Source organism: Homo sapiens, chromosome 10 (genome assembly GCF_000001405.40).
Source record: "Homo sapiens chromosome 10, GRCh38.p14 Primary Assembly".
Taxonomy (NCBI): domain Eukaryota; kingdom Metazoa; phylum Chordata; class Mammalia; order Primates; family Hominidae; genus Homo; species Homo sapiens.
This window is the reverse complement of record NC_000010.11, coordinates 93,092,192-93,115,077: the sequence shown is the minus strand read 5'-3', so window position 1 is coordinate 93,115,077 and position 22,886 is coordinate 93,092,192. Positions and strand designations below refer to the sequence as shown.

At 41.6% G+C, this 22,886-nt stretch overlaps 1 pseudogene, besides 3 other annotated features; it reads left to right on the top strand.

The window, feature by feature from the left end:
• On the top strand, positions 7,789–9,157 carry NIP7P1 (NIP7 pseudogene 1; annotated as a pseudogene).
• Positions 8,092–8,386: an enhancer, noted in NCBI's record as "tiled region #10607; K562 Activating non-DNase unmatched - State 24:Quies". NCBI's record gives its function as "activates a minimal TATA promoter and a strong SV40 promoter by Sharpr-MPRA in K562 cells {active_cell/tissue: K562}" and the evidence as "EXISTENCE:reporter gene assay evidence [ECO:0000049][PMID:27701403]".
• Positions 16,828–17,684: an enhancer, noted in NCBI's record as "H3K27ac-H3K4me1 hESC enhancer chr10:94857151-94858007 (GRCh37/hg19 assembly coordinates)". NCBI's record gives its function as "activates a minimal SCP1, AML or CMV promoter by ChIP-STARR-seq in naive H9 embryonic stem cells {active_cell/tissue: H9 hESC(naive)}" and the evidence as "EXISTENCE:reporter gene assay evidence [ECO:0000049][PMID:30033119]".
• Positions 17,685–18,541: an enhancer, noted in NCBI's record as "H3K27ac-H3K4me1 hESC enhancer chr10:94856294-94857150 (GRCh37/hg19 assembly coordinates)". NCBI's record gives its function as "activates a minimal SCP1, AML or CMV promoter by ChIP-STARR-seq in naive H9 embryonic stem cells {active_cell/tissue: H9 hESC(naive)}" and the evidence as "EXISTENCE:reporter gene assay evidence [ECO:0000049][PMID:30033119]".

The window sequence follows — 22,886 nt, the reverse complement described above, 5'->3', positions numbered from 1 at the left end:
CCTTCCCAGTTCTGCAGAGAGCTCACGTTGGTATCCTGAAATCTGCCACGGTGGGAGCTGCGCTACCAATCAGCAATGTTGAGTTTTGGTTTTTGGAGACCCAGATCACTAGTGCACCGCAGATCCCCTTCTCTTCCCAGGGCCTGCATCAAGGTTGGGAGGTGAGAAGAGGTAGAGGGTACATTTGGTAATGGAAAAGCGTCCTTCCATTTTCAGCCAGGGCTTCACACAGATCAGCCCCAAGATGATGCTTGCTCTTGTCTGCAAAGCATCTGTGCAATGCTTCTCTCATTCCCTTTCTGTGCCACCTTTGAACACAGACCCTCTGCCCGGCTGTCGTTGTTCCCTCCCTGGACACGCACTGGAAAGCACTTCCCTTGCAGCTCTGATGACAAAAGAGAGCTCTCTGCTCTCCTCACTCATCCCTAGCCGCTCCTCCTCATCCTGAGTGTGAATAAAATCCTTTTTTTAAGTGTGAATAAAATCCTTCCCTCCTCACCTTCCATTTTCAAATGGTATTATTAATGTTTTTATACTTTTGGAAACAAAACACCAGGAAATTCTGTCTCACATCTACCTTGAGCTCAGGAGCACAGGGCAACTCTCTGTTTCAATGGGAGAAAGAGGAGGAGGGAAATACTAGAAAGGAAAAATAGGTTAATATAGCAAAAATTTCAGTCCATAAATACATTGCATAATTCTGACCTTTTGAGTTGTTTTTTTTCCCCTACTAGCTAATTGCGTTCTCACACTTCTCTGTTGAGGTTGGAAGGGCAAATAATGTCAATAAATGATCTGTACAGTGCCTAGCACATAGTAGGTCCTCAATAAATGGTGGTTTCTTTCACCTTCATTGAGGCTCTGCACGAAGACAAGATTCAGTGGGGATAGAAAGTGAGAAATGTGTGCCTCATCCTTCTTTCCCTTGCATGGTGGCAGGGAGTGTGATCCATTGGTGATCCATTGGGTTGGTCATGTGACCCCACCTTTGGGCTTTGAGAAGCAGATACTGGTACATTAATAATGGGTAAAAAAAAAAAAAACCCACATACTCAATTAACATGAAATGTCCTCTTAGGTGAAGCAGAAAGACTGATGGACGATTCTAGAAGTGGATAAAACAAGGAATGCTCCCTTGGAGCATGGCATCTTGGCAAGCCACCATCTTCTTGGATGGTTTCCCCTCAGTCCCTTTCCAAGCCTTCCTCTTGCCTGTTATTCCAAATCTACAAGTTTCATTATGGTCAGTGTCATCCATAATCATAATTGCCATGCACCTCTCCACACCATCCATTGATGACTCCAATTCCATTCTCCTCTGCCCTGAACACCAGATTGTATTTGCAGCTCTCTTTTGAGCATTTTCAACAGATTCCACAGATACCCCCACACTCAGTACATTCCATCTTGAAGTCTTCATCTTCCTCCCTCTCCTGACAGTGACCATCATCTGCCATCTCCATCCTAGTGAAGATTACTTCCACCTCTAGTCATCCCAGGCACCTCCTTCATGCTCATTTCTTACATCAGTTGATTCTAAGTTCCTATGGTTCTGCTCTTTAATCATGCCTGCATCTGTAGCCCTTCTGTCCAGGCGCATTAGAGCAGCCCTTGTTTCTCACAGGGACACCAAATTCTCCTACAAATTCCTTTCTCTGCCCTCCTGTCTTGGCCCCTTCAATCCAGCCATCACTGCCTAAAACAAATCTGAATGTATGAAAGCTCCCTATTAAGCGACTCCCTATTACCCATGCACTGAAGTTAGAACTTGACATGACACTCATGGCTTTCCAGGATCCAGCAATAATGCCCTGAACTTCAGCCTCGTCTATTTACTCTTCTCACACTGCCTATTGCCTGCTGCAGACACACTGAACTATTGATGCTTTCTAGTTCCTTCTGCCTATGGCACCATTTCTCCTTTTGCTCCAGTAAGCCATACTTATTTTTACAACTCCATCTCCAGGACCTCCTCTGTGAAGCCCTCCTGGATTCTGCACCTCTTTGATGAGATTTGATAATTCCCCACTTGAGTCTACTTCTGCCCCTTTTTTGGGGTTTACCTTTACCTTTCCACAGTACAATTCTTTCTTTTATACATCTGTCTTCCCCTCTACTCCAGGCTCATCGAGGAAAGGGAACATGTCTTAATCAAGTTTTTTTTTCTATATAATAAAAGCCCTCTGATAAGGGGGGTGCAAATAGAATTATGCTGTTGTAAGGTGATTTCATTTGTAAATTAGGAAGGCAGAAGTTTGAAGTGTCAGGGATGAAGTGTGATTATGAAACATGAGGTAGTAAAATCCATTCTAAACAGTTTTGGATAAGATTGGGATGTATACTATTAGCCCTAGAAACCACTTAAAATATTTTTTAATGTATAGCTAAGAAACAAATACAGGAGGCCAGGTGCAGTGACTGACGCCTGTAATCCCAGCACTTTGGGAAGCTGAGGCGGGTGGATCACCTGAGGTCAGGAGTTTGAGACCAGCCTGGCCAATATGGTGAAACCCTGTCTCTACTAAAAATACAAAAATTAGCTGGGCGTGGTAGCGGGCTCCTGTAATCCCAGCTACTCAGGAGGCTGAGACAGGAGAATTGCTTGAAACTGGGAGGTGGAGGTTACAGTGAGCCAAGATCACACCATTGCACTCCAGCCTGGGCAACAAGAGTGAGACTCCATCTCCAAAAAAGAGAGAAACAAATAGAGAAAATAGGCTTGGTGCAGTGCCTTAAGCCTGTAATCCCAGCACTTCGGGAGGCTGAGGAGGGCGGTCCATTTGTGGTCAGGAGTTCAAGACTAGCCTGGCCAACATGGTGAAACCCCATCTCTACAAAAAATACAAAAAAAAAAATTTAGCAGGGTGTGGTGGCACGTGCCTGTAGTCCCAGCTACTGCTACTGGGGAGGCTGAGGCATGAGAAAAGCTTAATCCTGGGAGGTGGAGGTTGCAATAAGCTGAAATCATGGCACTGCACACAAAGCGAGACTCCATCTCAAAAAAAAAAAAAAAAGAAAAAGAAAGAAGCAAATAGAGGAAATAAAATGGAATATCAAAAAATATTTGGTGGTTGGGCGCAGTGGCTCACGCCTGTAATCCCAGCACTTTGGGAAGCCGAGGCAGGTGGATCACTTGAGGTCAGGTGTTCGAGACCAGCCTGGCCAATGTGGTAAAACCTCGTCTCTACTAAAAAAACAAAAATTTTCTGAGTGTAGTGGCATATGCCTGTAGTCCCAGCTACTTGGGAGGCTGAGGCAGGAGAATTACTTGAACCCGGAAGGCAGAGGTTGCAGTGAGTCGAGACTGCACCACTGCACTCCTGCCTGGGTGACAGAGTGAGACTCTATCTCAAAAAAAAAAAAAAATTGGTTAACCCAAAGAAGGAAGACAAGGAGCAACAAAGAAGAAAAAAACTGAATAAACAAATGGAAAACAAGTAGCAAAATAATATTGGGTTGGTGCAAAAGTAACTGCAGTTTTTGCTGCAATTACTTTTGTACCAATTTAATAGATTTAAACACAGCCATATCAAAAATTACTTTCAATGTAAAAGCCGCAAATTGAAAGGCAGAGATTGAGGCCCGGCATGGTGGCTCACACCTGTAATCCCAGCACTTTGGGAGGCCAAGATGGGAGGATCACTTGAGCCCAGGAGTTTGAAACCAGCCTGGGCAACATGGTGAAACCCCTTCTCCAAAAAATGCAAAAAAAATTAGCCAGACATGGTGGTGCGTGCCTGTAGTCCAAGTGGATAAAAAGTAGAACTCAAATATATGTTATCTATAAGACATAAAGCTTCATTATGAAGACACACATAGACTGAAAATGCTTATAGCTTTATTTATAATAGCCCCAAACTGAAAACAACCCAAATATACATTCAACAGATGAACAAATCGTGGTATACCAACAAGATAGAATTTTACTCAGCAGTCAAAAGGGACAAACTGTAGTACACCTATCAGCATGGATAAATCTCATAAAAACATTAGGCAGAACAAAAGACTTCAGATCCAAAAGAGTACACACTGCATTGATATAAAGTTCTGGAACAAGCAAAGCTCATCTACAGTTAACGAAAACAGTGGTTGACTAAAAGAGGAATTGACTCCACATAGATATGAGGAAACTTTCTAAGGTGATAGAAAAGTTTACTTTCTTGATTGTGATGGTGATTATACAAATGTGTTCATCTGACAAAACTCATTGAGCTGTATACTTAAAATGTGTGTGATTTAAGGTATGTAAATTCATACCCCCCAAAAATTGTTTTTTTTAAAAAAAGAGGATGAAAATGTGCAATGGTTAAGCCACTGTGGAAAGCAATTTGGCAGTTCTTCAAAAAGTTAAGAATAGAATTATCATATGACCCAGCAATCCCACTCCCAGGTGTATTCACAAAAGAATTGAAAACAGGTACTGAAACAAACACATAGGCACGCATGCTCATGGCCACAGCATTCACAATATCTGAAAGGTGGAAACAACCCAAATGTCCATCAGCAGATACATGAATCACAAATCATGGCATATACATTAAAGGAAATCAAAATAGTGCACCCAAAACCAAAAATCTGACGTATTTTGAGATAGCTGTTCAGAGGGCTTGCAAACAGAAGTAGGCCTGCAAAGCTGCCTTTTGTGGAAGAGACTTGGCATCTGTAGAGAAAATCTGCACAGATGCAGCCAGGCTTTTTCTGAGGCCTTCCTTTGTCTAATCTAGGAAAGATTAACTGAGAGTCTGACACCTTTAAAAGTCTGGAAGAGCCAGGCATGTTGGCTCACGCCTGTAATCCCAGCACTTTGGGAGACCAAGGTGGGTGGATCACCTGAGGTTGGGAGTTCGAGACCAGCCTGACCAACATGGAGAAACCCCGTCTCTACTAAAAATACAAAACTAGCTGGGCATGGTGGTGTATGCCTGTAATCCCAGCTACTCGGGAGGCTGAGGCAGGAGAATCGCTGGAACCTGGGATGTGGAGGTTGCAGTGAGCCGGGATCGTGCCACAGCCTGGGCAACAAGAGCGAAACTCCACTGAAAAAAATAAAAATAAAAATAAAAAAATAAAAGTCTGGAAGACACATTTGCCATCTATTCTTTCTGAGGGCTGCTACCTGTGAAGTTTCATTTACATTACAAGACCACGTATGCTAGCCATGCCTCCCCTTCTCCCCCTCCCATAACCTGTTTTGCCATAATCCAAGCCGTTATTCTTTCTGCAACCTCAAGATGTTGTATAAGCTTCTGAACCCTATTGAGGGGTTGGGGTAATTACTCTGTGGTTTTCTCCCATGTGCACATTAATAAATCTGTGTGCCTTTTCTCTTATTAATTTGCCTTTTGTCAGTTGATTTTTCAGCAAAATTTCACAGGGCAAAGGAGGAGTTTTCCCTTGGCCCTTACAACACAGAATGAAAGAAATATCATTTGGCAATAAAAAGGAACGAACTACTGATACATACTACAGCATGGGTGAGCACTGAAATTGAAAACATTATGTTAAGTGAAAGAAGCCAGACACAAAAAATCACATATCATAGGATCCTATTTACATGAAATATCCAGAATATTTAAATCCATAGAGAAGGCACAGGCCAAGGACTGAGGGAGGGGTAATAGGTTTCCTTCTGGGGTGATAAAAATGGGGACTAGACAGAGGTGGTGCTTGCACCACATTATGAATATACTAAATGCCCCTGAATCGTTCATTTTTCAATGGTTACTTTTATGCTATTTGAATTTCACATCAATAAAAAGAGATTTCTTTCTACTTCCAACCAAGAAAGAGTAATGGAAACCAGATTTACCTCCATGCCTGAAACAACCAAAAAGAATGGACAAAATATATGAAACGGTCGTTTCCAGGACACTTGGTAACAGGCAACAAAGGACAGTGATCCCTGCGTGATAAGGAACAAATGACGGGAAGCCTATGACCGCCCCAGCTTACGGACTTGAAAGAGTTTCCAGGCCACAGCACATGGAGGAGTAATTCAAGCAGAATCCAGCAGACCCCTCAATCGAGGAGACACAGCTAAGAGTCTGGAAAGACCCAGACAGTAAGAGGAATATAGTAACTATAGGAATATAAAATATCTTATTAAACAAAAAAACAAGATGTAACTCAGAATGTCTGGCATCCAATTAAAAATTACCAGGTAAAATAAAGAAGCTAAAAAATGTGATCCAAAATGAGGAGAAAAATTACCAGTTTAAACCAACCCAGAACTAATGCAGATGTCAGAATTAGCAGAGATAGACATTGTAACAGTTATTATAACTATATTTTATGTGTTCGAAAAGTTAAGCAGAGACAAGGAAGATAATACCAGAGGGCTGGGAGAAGACACGCAAACTGAACTTCTACAGATGCAGACTACGATGTCTGAGGTGACAAATAGTGTGGGCTGCGTGCAGTGGCTCATGCCTATAATCCTAGCACTTTGGGAGGCTGAGGCTGGCGGATCACTTGAGGTCAGGAGTTTGAGACCAGCCTGGCCAACATGGTGAAACCCTGTCTCTACTAAAAATAACAAAAATCAGCCAGGCGTGGTGGCACGTGCCTGTACTCCCAGCTGCTCAGGAGGCTGAGGTGGAAGGATAGCTTGAACCTGGAAGATGGAGGTTGCAGTGAGCTGAGATCACACCATTGCACTACACTCTGGGTGACAGAGCAAGACTCCGTCTCAAGAAAAACAAAAAGGAAAAAAAAATACTGTGGATGGGATTAATAGCGGATGAGACATGCAGAAGAAAATAGTAAATTCAAATAGATAGCAATAAAAACTACCCAAAATGAAACAAAGAAAAGAGAATTTTAAAAATGCAAACAGCATCAGTGAGCCATGAGATGACTTCAAGCAGTCCCCAAAGGAGAGGAAAGAGAGAAAGGAAAAAATAATTGAAGAGAATTATTGGCGGCCGGGTGCGGTGGCTCAAGCCTATAATCCCAGCACTTGTGGGAGGCCAAGGCAGGCGGTTCACGAGGTCAGGATATCAAGACCACTCTGGCTAACATGGTGAAACCCTGTCTCTACTAAAAATACAGAAAATTAGCCGGGCGTGGTGGTGGGTGTCTGTAGTCTCAGCTACTTGGGAGGCTGAGGCAGGAGAATGGCATGAACCCAGGAGGTGGAGCTTGCAGTGAGCCGAGATTGCGCCACTGCAGTCCAGCCTGGGTGACAGAGCGAGACTCCGTCTCAAAAAAAAAAAAAAAATTATTGGCTAAAATTTTACAAAATTTGATGAAAAGTATAAATCCACAAATCCAAGGAGCTCAACAAACTCCAAGCACAAGGAATTTGGAAGTATATTATAATCAAAATGCTCCCAACCAGTGTTAAAGAGAAAATCTTAAAAAGCATTCAGAGGGAAAAAAAACCCCACATTATGTACAGAGAAACAGAGGTGGGACAGCAATAAATGTCTTGTTAGAAACAATCGAAAAAAGTAAGACAGTGGAGCAGTATCTTTAAAATACTGAAATAAAAAAAACTATTAATCTAAAATTCTCTACTTGGTAAAAAATGTCTTTCAAAAACAAAAGTAAAATAAAGACTATTAGGCAGACAAAAGCTGAAAGACTTAATTAGAACAGACCCACATTACATGAAAGGTTTTTTTAAAAGTTCAGGTTTCCCTGCCAATGGGGCATGAGGATCCGGTGTTCCATTCTAGCGGGAAAATGTGGACTTGGCTGAAGAGCAGGCCCATATAATGTTTGAGAAGACCATGAAATACATCAGGGAGAATCTGCTGCCACTTGACAGGCCCGACGGCACCTACGCTATGTGAGTGAGAAGATTCTGAAGTTGGCTGCCAGTATCTCCAGGGACAAGCTGGTGTTGCTGGGAACCTGCTTCGGAAAATTCACTAAGACCCACAGGTTTCAGTTGCACATCACAACTCTGGATTACCTTGTACCCTATACCAAGTATAAAGTGCGGATAAAGCCTAGAGCTTCTTCCTGGAGCAGGTCAGTCCTTCCCGTATGGGAACCATCTGTTGAAATATGGTCTGGGTTGAATCACCAAAAAGACTTCTCAGTACCAGGCAGTGGTGGTGTGCTCCATGGCAGACATTCCTTGGGTTTTGGGGTGGCAGGAAAATCTACACAAGACTGCAGAAAAGTGGACCTCCTGGTGACTGTGGTATTTCATCATGCAGACACTGGGAAATATGTGAGACATGAAATGACGTTGACTTAAAACGAAGTCAAGGCCTCACAGCTGTGTGGAAGGGCCAAGCTTTGTTCCCTGTATTTGTGCAGACTCCACTATCATGTTGAACTTTGTCAACACTGTGACCTCTTCAGGGACTCCTCTGTTTACTATTCTCTCTACCACTGACAGATGCAGGCTGGATTCTTACTGTACAGAAATGACTTTAAAATGGAGTTTCAGATCTTTGTGTTTGCACTAAATAGAATGTTTTGTTTTGTATTTGAATCAGGCGGCTTCTTGTTCTGAATAACAGGTTCAAAATCATTGGAACTGAGGACAAGAATATCTGTGATAACACTTTGTTTTCCAAACTCATAAGAGCACAATGGATTTTCTCTGTTGTTTATTCACATGATGAAAGATAGATATTGACACATCAGAATAGTAGGCCACTCCTGGGATTTTGCATATGAAATTTGGCTAAAATAACAAGAGAAATTTATTCAGCTATTTTTCTATACAGTAAATTCTGTATGGTGAGGAAGAAAAACTTGGGTTCAAACCCCAGTTCTGCTGCTGACCAGCTATATGGCCTTGGATGAGTCATTCAACTTTAATAAGCATCATTTTCTTCTTCTGTTTGAAAAAACCACAAAACTTTTAAAAGCTTTAATCATTTACCTGAGAATGGTTTTTAGAATTAGAAATCAGGCCGGGCATGGTGGCTCATGCCTGTAATCCCAGCACTTTGGGAGGCCAAGGTGGGTGAATCACCTGAGGTCAGGAGTTCAAGATCAGCCTGGCCAACGTGGTGAAACCTTGTCTCTACTAAAAATACAAAACATTAGCCTGGCATGGTGGCACACGCCTGTAATCCCAGCTACTCAGGAGTCTAAACCAGGAGAATCGCTTGAACTCGGGAGGTGGAGGCTGCAGTGAGCTGAGATCGTGCCATTGCACTCCAGCCTGGGCAACAAGAATGAAACTCCGTCTCAAAAAATAAAAATAAAATTAGAAATCATAATTGTAAAGCATCTAGCACAGTGCCTGGGAAATGTTACGTATTGAATAAATGGTAAGAGTTATTTTTCTAGTACATATATTATGTATTTCTATTACGAGGTGTGGGGTCTTATGAGTGTCATTTGATTACATTATCTTGTTTTTTTGTTTTTTTTTTTGTTTTTTTTTTTTTGTTTTTTTTAATGAGAAAGAGTCTCGTTCTGTTGCCCAGGCTGGAGTGCAATGGCGCCATCTTGGCTCACTGTAACCTCCACCTCCTGGGTTCAAGTGATTCTCCTGCCTCTGCCTCCCGAGTAGCTGGGATTACAGGCGTGCACCACCATGCCCAGCTAATTTTTTTGTATTTTTAGTAGAGACGGGGTTTCACCATATTGGCCAGACTGGTCTCAAACTCCTGATCTTGTGATCCACCCGCCTTGGCTTCCCAAAATGCTGGGATTACAGGTGTGAGCCACCACGCACAGCCTACGTTATCTTGTTTTTTACGAGCTGTTTCCTCGCTCTTTTTCTTGGATAGAATGAGCCCAGGCTGAAATGTTTTTTTTATCACTTTGATTTCATGAAACATAATTTATTCACAGGAAAAAAAAGTTCAGGCAGAAGGTAAGTGATACCAGATATAACTATGTATCTACACAAAGGAACAAAGAACACCAACAATGTTAGCTATATAAGATTTGTTCTTAATACGCAAATATCTTTAAAAATAATTAATAGTTTTGGGGTTTGTTTTTTTTAACCCTTATTCTATCTTTATTTTTATTAATAAGAATGAAGAACATAAACAGAAAACATGTAAAAATAGAAGTAATTATACAATGTAAAAGATTCCCTCTTCAAAAAAGACAAAGAGCACAAGTTTTTAAAATTATCAGTTTACACCCTCAAAATATGGAACAATTTCTTTAACACAACCATACTCAATATCATTGGCAATTAAGTGAAAAGTAAACAATTCACACAAAGCTGGTGAAAATGTAAACTGGCACAGCTTTGCTGTAAGAAAAAAATCAAGTGAATATTAAAAGCTTTGGAAAATAACCTTTCATACATCCAACAATATTTATTTGTTAGGCCCCGTATGAGGTTTTAAATATGTTAACAAGACTGACCTTGTCCCGGTTCATGATCCAGTGGTGGAATGATGAAAGACAAAATTTTTAAAATAATAGCTAATTACAAAAGATGTTATGGAAGGAAGAGTCTACTTAAGAAAAGGGTAGTTGGGCAAAGCCTGAGAGGTATCCTGTATACTATAGATTGTACTAAATGCTATACATATATTGATAATAGACAGGTTTAATTAAAAAATAACAACATATCAAGAGGTTTCTAACATGTTTAAATGTGTATACTTATACCAAATAAAATGTTTATATATATATATATATATATATATATATATATGTATATATAGCAACAGGAGCATAAAGGCCTAAAGGTAAAAATATGAATCCGAGGTATATTGTTGTAAGGTTATTATACTACATAGGAAGTGATATAATATCATGTGAAGATAGACTGCATAAATTCAAACTAACAAAACCAAGAGTTACAACAAGCCAACTATTGAAATGAAATGGAATAATAAAAGTTAATTCAAAAGGTTTTCAAAAAGAGGAAAAGGGGAACAAAAAACCGAAAATATAAAGTGAAATAAGTAGCAAAATGGTGGATTTAACTCTATCCATATCAATAATCACATTATATGTAAATGGTCTAAATATCCCTATTAAAAGGCAGAGACTGCCAGACTGGGTAAAAAAGCAAAATGCAATAATATGCTGCCTAGAAGAAACCAACCTTAAAGGTAAAGAACAAATAAGGCTCAAAGTATAAGCATGGAAAAAATATACCATGCTAACACTAATCAAAAGTAAGTGGAGTGGCTATATTAATTTCAGACAAAGTAGAAAAGTAAGTTTCAGAGAAAAAAATTACCAGAGATAAAGAGGGTTATTTCATAATGATAAAAGGGTCAAAGCATCAAAAAGGCATAATTAATTTTGTTTATGCACCTATTAATATAGCTTTGTAATACATGAAGCAAAAACTGATAGAATTGAAAAGGAGAAGTAAAATCACAATTATTGTTGGAGATTTCAACACACTTTTTAAAAACAATCACTAGAACAAGTCAGAAAATCAGTAAGGATATAGATGAATCAAATAACACTGTCAACCAACTTGACATAATTCATATTTATAGATCATTCATTCCACCCAACAACAGCAAAATGCACTTAACTGCACATGGAATATTTACTATGATAGAATATATGCTGAGCCATAAAACAAGTCTTAATTTATTTGGAAGGATTCAAGTCAAACAAAGTGTGTTCTCTGACCACAATAGAACTAAATTATGAAATTATGTATCAGTAGCAGGGAGATATCTGAAAATTTCTCCATGTATTTGAAACAAAATAATACATTTGAAATAACCTATGGGTCAAAGAAGAAATCAAAAGGGAAATTAGAAAGTATTTTAAAGAGAATGAAAATGAAAACACCATATCAAATTTTGTGCTCAAGAAGCACAAATTTCATGCTAAAGCAGCATTAGAAGGAAATTTATAGCACTAAAACACCTAGTTAGAAAAGTGCAAATGTCTCAAATTAATGACTTAATTTTCCTCCTTAAGAAACTAGGAAAAGAAGACCAAATGAAACCCAAAGTAAAAAGAATAAAAGAATAAAGAGCAGATCAAAAATCAATTAAAAAAAAACACACACACAGAAAAAGGGGCCGGAGCGGTGGCTCATGCCTGTAATCCCAGCACTTTGGGAGGCTGAGGTGGGCAGATCACCTGAGGTCAGGAGTTTTAAGACCAGCCTGGCCAACAGGGAGAAACCCCATCTCTACTAAAAATACAAAAGTTAGCCAGGTGTGGTGGCAATGCGCCTGTAATCCCAGCTACTCGGGAGACTGAGGCAGGAGAATCACTTGAAACTGGGAGGTGGAGGTTGCAGTAAGCTGAGATCGCACCATTGCACTCCAGCCTGGGCGACAGGGCGAGACTTTGTCTAAAAAAAAAAAAAAAAAAAAAACCACACAGAAAAAGAACATAAAATAAAGGAAAAACTAATTTTTGAGAAAATAAACCTCTAGCCAGATTGATCAGGAAAAAAGGAGAAAATACGCAAATTGCCACTAACATAAATGAGAGATGTGACATCACCACAAACTCTACAGATACTAAAAGAATAAAAAGAAATTATTATAAAAACCTTTATGCCAATAAACTTGAAAACTTAGGTTAAATGGACAAATTCCTTGAAAGACAAAAATTACTGGCCAGGCACGGTGGCTCATGCCTGTAATCCCAGCACTTTGGGAGGTTGAGGCGGGTGGATCACAAGGTCAGGAGATCGAGACCATCCTGGCTAACACGGTGAAACCCTGTCTCTACTAAAAATACAAAAAATTAGCCGGGCATTGTGGCGGGCACCTGTGGTCCCAGCTACTCGCAAGGCTGAGGCAGGAGAATGGCGTGAACCTGGGAGGTGGAGCTTGTAGAGAGCCAAGATCGCGCCACTGCACTCCAGCCTGGGCAACAGAGCAAGACTCCATCTCAAAAAAAAAAAAAAAGGAAAGACAAAAATTACTAAAGCTCACTCAAGAAGGAATGTAACCTAAATAGGCCTATATCTATTAAATAAATTGAATTTGTGAGTAAAAACCTTCCCATAAATGTCCAGGCCCAAATGGCTTCATAGGTGAATTCCACCAAACATTAAAGGACAAAATAATACCACTTCCACATAAACTCTTCTAGTAAAGTGAAGAGGAAGGAATGATGCTTAATTGATTCTATGATGTCAGGACTACCTTGGTACCAAGACTACACAGACACATTACAGGGAAAAATATCTACAACTCAGCATTCCTTAAGAACATAGATACAAAATTCTTAACAAAATTGTATCAGAGCCTGTCTCAGTGTCTCATACCTGTGTAATTCCAGCATTTTGGGAGGCCAAGGTGGGAGGATCACTTGAGCCCAGGAGTTTGAGACCACCCTGGGCAACATAGGGAGATCCCGTCTATACAAAAAAAATTTTTTAATTAACTTGGCACGGTGGTGGGTGCTGGTAGTCTCAGCTACTCAGGGTGATAAGCTGGGAGGATCACTTGAGCCCAGGAGGTCGAGGCTGCAGTAAGCCATGATCTCACCATTGCACTCCAGCCTGGGTGGCAGAATAAGACCCCCATTTCAAAAAAAAAATAAAGGCCAGAAGCAGTGGCTTATGCCTGTAATCCCAGCCCAGCACTTTGGGCAGCTGGGGCAGGTGGATCACCTGAGGTCAAGAGTTCAAGACCAGCTTGGGCAACATGGCAAAATCCCATCTCTACTAAAAATACAAAAATTAGCCAGGCATAATGGCACATGCCTGTAGTCCCAGCTACTCAGGAGGCTGAAGCATGAGAATCACTTGAACTGGGGAGGCGGAGGCTGCAGTGAGCCAAGATCACACCACTGCACTCCAGCCTGGGTAACAGAGCAAGACTCCATCTCAAAACATCATCATCATCATCATCATCATCACCATCATCATCGTCATCATAAAGTAAAATAAAAAGTCTGGGCTTGGTGGCTCACACCTGTAATTTGTAACTTTAGGAGGCCGAGGTAGAAGAATCCCTTGAGCCCTGGGCAAGACAGTGAGACCCTATCTCTACAAAAAAATTCAAAAATTAGCTGGGCATGGTGGTATGTATCTATAGTCCCAGCTACTCAGAAGGCTGAGGCAGCAGTATCTTCTGAGCCCAGAAATTCAAGGCAGCAGTGAGCTATGATCATGCCACTGCTCCAGCCTGGGTAACAGAGTGAGATCACATCTCTAAATAAATAAATAAATATATATTTTTTAAATTTAACAAATACAGTCTTAAAAATATCTAAAAAGACTAGGTAAGCTTTATCCCAGGAATGCAAGATTAGTTTAAAATCAGTGTAATTTACCATATTAGAGGCTGAAAAAGATAAATCATATGAACATCTTAATAGATGCAGTGAAGACATTTGATAAAATCTAACATCTATTCTTTATTGTTAAAAAGAATACTGTCAGCAAACTAGGAATAGAAAGAACTTCCTCAACTTGATAAAGGGCATTTATGAAAAACCTTCAGGCAACATAACACTCAATGGTGAAAGACTCAATGCTTTCCCCTTAAGACAAAGAACCAGACACCCCTGTTCAATTCCTCATTTCTACTCTACATTGTACTGGAGGTTTACTAAGCCAAGAAAAAGAAATAAAAGGCACCCCAATTGAAAGGGTGCCCAATTGAAAGGGATTTATCTACAAGTGATATGATCATCTATGTTGTAAGATACAAAATCAATATACAAAAAATTTATTTTATTTCTATATGCTTGCAATAAATAATCAGAAGTTGGAAATGAAAGTAATATCGTTTACAATGGCATAAACAACATGAAATACTCAGGGATAAATCTGATAAAATATGCAAGGCCTGTATGCTGAAGATTACAAAACATTCCTAAGAGACATTAAAATGAAGCGATATCCCATGTTCTTAGGTAGGAAGACTCAATATTGTTAAGATGTCAGTTCTCTTCATATTGATGTATAGATTCAATATACTCCCAATCAAAATCTCAGAAAGCTTTCTAAGAAATTAAAAAGCTGATTCTAAAAGTCAGAAATACAAAGGATCTAAAATAACCAAAGCAACTTTGAAAAATAAAAACAATGTTGGAGAACTATACTACCTGATTTCAAAACTTATTATAAAACTACACTTAAGACTGTGGTATTGTTGTAAAAATCGCCAAATAGACCAATGGAACAGAATAGAGAGCCCAGAAATAGGCACATATATGGACAACTGATTTTTTATGAAAGTACAAAGACAAATCAATAAAGAACAATCTTTTCAAAACTGGTGCTAAAACAATTGCATATCCATATGCAGAAAAATGAAATTTGATCCATACCTCAAACCACATACAAACATTAATGAAATACAGACCCTAGGCGGGGCACAGTGGCTCATGCCTATAATCCCAGCACTTTAGGAGGCCAAGGTAGGCGGATCAACTGAGGTCAGGAGTTCGAGAACAGCCTGGCCAATGTGGTGAAATCCGGTCTCTACTAAAAATACAAAAATTAGCTGGGCGTGGTGACACATGCCTGTAATCCCACGTACCAGGGAGGCTGAGGCAGGAGAATTGCTTAAAACCGGGAGGCAGAGGCTGCAGTAAGCTGAGATCGTGCCACTGCACTCCAGCCTGGGTGACAGAGCAAGACTCCAACTCAAAAAAACAAAAGAAATATAGACCCTAAAACTATATAACTTCTAGAAGAAAACACAGGAGATATTTGTGACTTTGGGTTAGGCAAAGTTTTCATAGACATGATACCAGAAGTCCAATCTGTTAAAGAAACAATGTATAAGCCGGATATTAGCAAAATTAAAAACCCTTTTTGAAAGACTATAATAAAAGATTGAAAAGACAATTCACATAATAGGAGAAAATATTTGGAAATAATACAAATTACCTGCACCCAGAATATATAAAGAACTTTCAAAACTAAATAAAAAAAAATTCCTCCCTCCTCCCAAAATGGGCAAAAGATTTGAACAGACACTTCCCCAAAGAAGATATACAAATGGCAAATACAGTACTCACATGAAAAGATATTCAACATCGTTTGTCACTGGGGGAAAGTGAATTAAAACTACAATCATATCACTGTGCATCTATTAGAATGTCTAAAATCAAAGTGACCACACCAAGCATTGGTGAAGACGTGGAGCAAGTGGAACCCTCTTGCACTGCTAGTGGGAATGTCAAGTCAGCTGGATGTGGTGGCTCACACCTGCAACCCCAGCAACTTGGGGGGCCAAGGCAGGGGGATCATTTGAGCTCAAGAGTTCGAGATCAGCCTAGGCAACAAAGTGACAGCCTGTCTCTACAAAAAAATAGAAAAAATTAGCCACATGTGGTGGCACACACTTGTAGTCCCAGCTACTCAGGAGGCTAGGCTGGGAAGATCACTTGAGCCCAGGAGGTCAAGAACACAGTCAACCATGATCATGGCACTGCACTCCAAGCTGGGCAACAGAACAAGACTTTGTCTCCAAAAAATAGATAAATAAATAAATAAAATGTAACACCACTTTGGAAAACAGTTTGGAAGTAGTTTTTTTTTTTTTTTTGTAATAGGTTAGACATATGCCCACTATATGACCTAGCCATTCCACTCCTAGGTATTTACTCAAGAGAAATGAAAGCATACGCCCATACAGAGACTTGTACAGAAGTGTCCTCAGCAGCTTTATCTGCAACAGCCAAAAACTGAAACCTAAATATCCATCATATCTGAATAGGTAAACAGGGTCTATCTATACAATGGAGTACTACTCCACAATAAAAAGAAATACGGTATACACACAATAGTATGAATGAATCTCAAAATAATTGTAATGAGTGAAAGAATCTAACAGCAAAGGATATATTGTATGATTCCATTTATAAAAAGTTATAGAAAACACAAACTAATCTACAATGACAGACAGTATATCGGTGGTTTCTTGGGGACAAAAGGAGCAGGGAGGAACAAAAGAAGGATGATAAAGAAGTGCAAGGAAACTTCTGTGGGTGACAGATTTGTTCCCTATCTTGATTATGGTAGTGGTTTTGCAGGTCTATAACAATGTCAATATTTATAAAATTATATACTTTAATAGGTGCCATTTATTGTATGTGAATTATTCTTTACTAAAGCAGTTAAAATATTAAATACAAACGTAATACTTTTTTTTTTTGAGGCAGAGTCTCGCTCTGTCACCCAGGCTGGAGTGCAGTGGCACGATCTTGGCTCACTGCAACCTCCATCTCCTGGGTTCAACAATTCTCCTACCTCAGCCTCCCAGGTAGCTGGGATTACAGGCGCCCGCCACCACGCTCAGCTAATTTTTACATTTTTAGTAGAGACGGGGTTTCACCATATTGGTCAGGCTGGTCTCGAACTCCTGACTGCAAGTGATCCACCCGCCTCAGCCTCCTAAAGTGCTGGGATTACAGGCATGAACCACCGCGCCCAGCCCCAGAATGTCTTGTAGCAGCTGTTTTCCTGTTCACGTCCCCTCGCTGCTGCATAGGGCAGGAGATATGGGCCACAGTAGCTGTGATCAGCAAGAAACCAGGCTCCACGCCTCACCCCCAGGTCTCTCTGAGGCCCAATACAGACTACAAGGCCTTCCAGCTCCCTCCCCGTCAGCCTCCGGCAGATTCACTGGAAAAGAAGAGCAAACCCTCAACCCCTATCTTTGCACCGCGGGCTTCTTCCCTTCTCAGCCTGTGCTCCAACTGCTCTCCCGGCTTATCAGTTGTCCCCAAGCAACAGCTGGAAAGTCTGTAGTAGGGACCCCCCTCTGCTCCAGGCTCTTCTCTCACCTTCCTAGCTAAGGGCAGTCCCTCCAGGGCTCTCCTTGAGGCCCTCAAAGCTCCAACCAGCCCCTTCGTCAGACACTTTTGGAGAAGTTCACTGCCACTCCTCCAAAGAAATTGAAACAGTTTGATTCTCACTTAAAGGTTCTGTTTGCATTGAGGAGTTTGTCACACATGCTAATGAACAGCCGGCTGACCCAAGGACAGAAGGGATGGAGGTGGCCTCTAATAAATTCTTCCTGGCTGCTGTGCTGATAAGATGCAAACAAGTGACCAGGGACTTGCCTGTGTCCTGGACTTTGGTGAGTACAGCTCCAGTTCATCTTCTTGATCAGCTCAACTCCCAGGCCTGCAGCTTCCAGGCGCCCCTGCTAGGCTGGGGCAAGCAGGCAAGCAAGCGTGCTGGACAGCAGGTGTGGGCAACAGGTGGGCTGAAGGCCTGGCAGGGCCCGGCTCCTGCTGGTTCTCTTCACGAGGCCCACCCTCAGGTGCTTTTAAGTGGGGACAGCTGAGCAAGTAGGTTTGCACATTTTTCTAAGGATCTCAACAATGCAAGACCACTTTCTCCTCCCTTCCTTAATTGTAGTGCCTTTTTTTCCATTTATATAAAAGTAGTTCACACTTATTGCAGAGCATTCTGCAAATAAAGAAATCACGGGAAAAAATTAAACCACATGCAATCCCATCACCCAGAAATGACCGCTTAAATTTGACTTCCATTTACTTTTACTACTTCCTTACCTTTACTACACATGTGTTTTAAAAGCAAACATGGGGCTGGGCATGGTGGCTCATGCCTGTAATCCCAGCACTTTGGGAGGATGAGGCAGGTGGGTCACCTGAGGTCAGGAGTTCAAGACCAGCCTGACCAATATGGTGAAAGCCCATCTCTACTAAAAATACAAAACTTAGCCGGGCATGGTGGCGTGGGCCCGTAGTCCCAGCTACTCAGGAGGCTGAGACAGGAGAATTGCTTGAGCCCGGGAGGCGGAGGTTGCAGTGAGCCAAGATCACACCACTGCACTTCAGGCTGGGTGACAGAGCGAGACTCCATCTCAAAATAAAATAAAATAAAAGCAAACATGGAATCATAATAATAGTAATATTTATTAAGCAAATGCTTACTATGCACTAGACTAAGCTAAACCTTTCACTTGGATTATCTCATTAAATTTTCACAATAAGTCTGAGTGATTGTGTCATTATTATCCCCATTTTATAGATGGAGAAATTGAGGCTTAAAGAAATTGAGTGCCTTGTCCAATGTCATCCAGCAATTAAATGGTGGGGCTGAGATTCCAACTTAGGAGATCTGATTTCAGAACCACCACTCTCACTCTGACTACTTTGAGACTAAAAATTCTATAAATATCTAAGTCCTGAGCCTTCAGCATCATTTTTAATGACTACCTAGCACTCTATTGTTCAGACGTACCATCATTTACCCAGTTACTTATCAATGAACAGAGGTTGTTTTCAATGTTTTCTATAATACATTCACTGATAAAGATCCTCATAGTTCAATATTTGCTCAAAAGCTAAAATTGGAATCCCTGGGCCCAAGCATATGTATAATTTTAAGGCTTTTGATACATATTGCCAAGATGGTCCTCCAAAAATAATGAACCAAATTATACTTCCTACATCCTCATCCACACTAGAATACAAAGCATTCTTCATCCAAGTGATTAGAGGCAGCTCAAATTCCGCCACATGAATAATACAATTAGATTAATTAGGGATTTGGGGTAGCTCAACAGTTTCCATTGGAAATTCCATCCTCCTATCGCAGAAGAGCTGAGGCCAGATATTGAGCAGAAAGGAGGCTCAATGAGAATGAGAACAACTTCCACTTAATTGAGTCAGGTTAATAATTCTGAAGTTCTCAGAAATGCCTTTGTCTCCATCACTGTCACTGAACAGTCACTGTCAGTGACCAAGGGGGAGAACAGTGTGTGGAATGTCCCTGAGTCCCTTGGCTAAGTCCAGCAGGAGGCAGCTTGGAGCACGGAGAGGACAGAGAGCTGGGGGTTAAGACTCAGGAGTGCTCATCTCAGCCCTGGGATTTCTAATGAGTGTGAGCATGACACAGCAAGCCTCATTCCTCTCTTCTGGAGGTGAATGCCTGGGGGGTGGGATCATGGCCTGGAGTTCCCACCAGCTGCAATCCCCTATATCCCAATGTCCCAGAATAGAACACTAACTAACACCAACTGCCATTTATTTCACTCCCACCTACACGAGACACAAACTCAGCATTATACTTGCATACATTATCCCATTTAAGCCTCCAAAATCTTTGTAGTGCCACTTTTGTCCTTGTTTGACAGATGAGAAAACTGAGGCATAGAAGTTTAAACGAGCCACCAGTGTTGGACTGGTGGCGAATGGCAGAACCAGAATTAGAGCCCAAGACACTCTGACTCAGTTTAAGACCCCATTTCTAAACACTGGGCTACACGCACTCTCCTCTAATCAGAAAAATAGTTCAAGGCTAAGAGCCAGGTCTGTGCTGTTCCTCACTCCATCCCCAGCACCTAGCCCAATGCCACAGTAGGCAATGAGGGTTTGTGACTGTCTTAGTCGTCTATTGCTGTGTAATTACAAAAAACTCAGTGACTTAAAATGGTACCCATTTGCCAGGTGCATTGACTGACACCTGTAATTCCAGCACTTTGGGAGGCCGAGGCAGGTGAATCACGAGGTCAGGAGTTCAAGACCAGCCTGGCCAAGATGGTGAAACCCCATCTCTATTAAAAATACAAAAATTAGCCAGGTGTGGTAGTGGGCGAGATCACGCCACTGCACTCCAGCCTGGGCAACAGAGCAAGACTCATTCTCAAAAAAACAAATTAGCTGGGTGTGGTGGCACATGCCTGTAGTCCCAGCTACTCAGGAGGCTGAGGCATGAGAATCGCTTGAACCGAGGAGGCAGAGGTTGCAGTTAGTCGAGATCACGCCACTGCACTCCAGTCTGGCGACAGAGCAAGACTTCATCTTAAACAAACAAACAAACAAACAAACATTCATTATCTCACAGTTCTGGGAGTCAGAAATCCAGGTACAACATCACTAGGGTCCCTGTTGAGCATCTTACAAGGCTGAAATCAAGGTGTCAGCTGAACTATGTGCCTACTAGAGCTTGGGATCCTCTTCCAGGATCATTCCAATTATTGGCAGAATTCACTTACTTGCTGTAGCATGACTAAGGTCTCCATTTTCCAACTAGCTGTCAACCAGGGACTGCTCTCAGCTCCTAAATGCTACCCCCAAGTCCTTGCCATGTGATCTTATGGATTCTCACACTCTCACCCTCAAATCTCTTCCTTCAGGAGGGTTCCACCCTTTCTGAGATAACTTTTGGCTGAAATGTACACTCATTCATTCAACAACGTTTGTTGAAGACCTACAGTGAGCAAGGTACTTTGTTCTAGGTGCTCAGGTACAGCAGTGTCAAAAATAAAAATAAAACATCTCTGTCCTCAAGGTCCTTATATTTAGTGAAGAAGACTGATGGGAAACTAGAGAAATAAGTAAACTATACAGCGTAGTAGATAGTGAGAAAGTGGTTTGGAGCATAGCAAAGCAGGGAAGGGCAGAGGCCCAGGGAAAAAGGAGGCATTTATTTATTTATTTATTTATTTATTTATTTATTTGATGGAGTTTCACTCTTTTCACCCAGGCTGGAGTGCAGTGGTGCGATGTCAGCTCACTGCAACCTCTACCTCCTGGGTTCAAGCAATTCTCTTGCCTCAGCCTCCCAAGTAGCTGGAACTACAGGTGCATGCCACCACGCCCAGCTAATTTTTTGTATTTTTAGTAGAGACGGGGTTTCACCACGTTGGCCAGGCTGGTCTCGAACTCCTGACCTCAGGTGATCCGCCCACTTGGCCTCCCAAAGTGCTGGGATTACAGGCGTGAGCCACCGCGCCTGGCCCTCTGATGGTTTTATAAAGGGAGCTCCCCAGCACACGCCCTCTTGCCTGCTGCCATGTAAGATATGACATTGCTCCTCCTTCACCTTCCACCATGATTGTGAGGCCTCCCCAGCCATGTGGAACTGTGAGTCCATCAAACCTCCTTTCTTTATAAATTACCCAGTCTCGGGTATGTCTTTATTAGCAGGGTGAGAACAGACTAATACACCTGCACATATCTACTGCACTCCAGCCTGGGCAACATAGCAAGACCACATCTCAAAAAAGGAGTCGAGCGTGGTGCCTCACTCCTGTAATCCCAGCACTTTGGGAGGCTGAGGCAGGCAGATCACTTGAGGTCAGGAATTCGAGACCAGCCTGGCCAACATGGTGAAACCCTGCCTCTACTAAATATAGGAAAATTAGCAATGCGGTGGTACACTCCTGTTACCCCAGCTACTTGGGAGGCTGAGGCATGAGAATCGCTTGACCTTGGAAGGCGGAGTTTGCAGTGGGCAGAGATCACACCATGCACTACAGCCTGGGGGACAGAGGGAGACTCTGTCAGAAGAAAGAAAGAAAGAGAGAGAGGGAGGGAGGGAGGGAGGAAGGAAAGAAGGAAAGAAGGGAGGAAGGAAAGAAGGAAAGAAGAGAAAGAAGCAGGGACCTTGAACTTCCTGCTGAGATGGCCCAGAACTGTGAAGGCCAAGCAGGAGGAATGTGAGTGATGGCAGCCTCCAGGGTGTTGGAAATAGCAGCTGCAGGTGAGTCCTGAGCTCCAGGAAGACCCCAAGAAAAAAATCAGTACCAGCAGTTCCTGGACTCAAAGGGCACTAATAACTATTGTTAAATGGTCCAAGCATTTTAATGTGTTTATATCTGAAAATTGTGATGAGGAAGGCATAGGGGTTTATTTACTCTGTTAATTCTTTGTCCCATGAGAGACACATTTCTGCTTAAAACAGGGAAAGAAAGAGAAAATAAGGCTGCCAAAAGCAAAGAAATTCTATATGTATATTTTTAGTTCAATTTTTGGATTAAGGGAGAATAGAAAAAACAAAATCCATGGGAATGCCAATTAAAAGTTCCCTTTATGTGCCAGGCATGGTGGCTCACCCCTGTGATTCCAGCACTTTGGGAAGCTGAGGCAGGAGGATCACTTGAGCCTAGGAGTTTGAGACCAACCTGGGAAACATGGTAAAACCCTGTCTCTACAAAAATTACAAAAAAAAAAAAAAAAAATTAGCCAGGCGTGGTGACACACACCTGTAGTTCCAGCTACTTGGGAAGCTGAGATAGAAGGATCGCTTGAGCCTGGGAGGTTGAGGCTGCAGTGAGCCATGATCACACCAC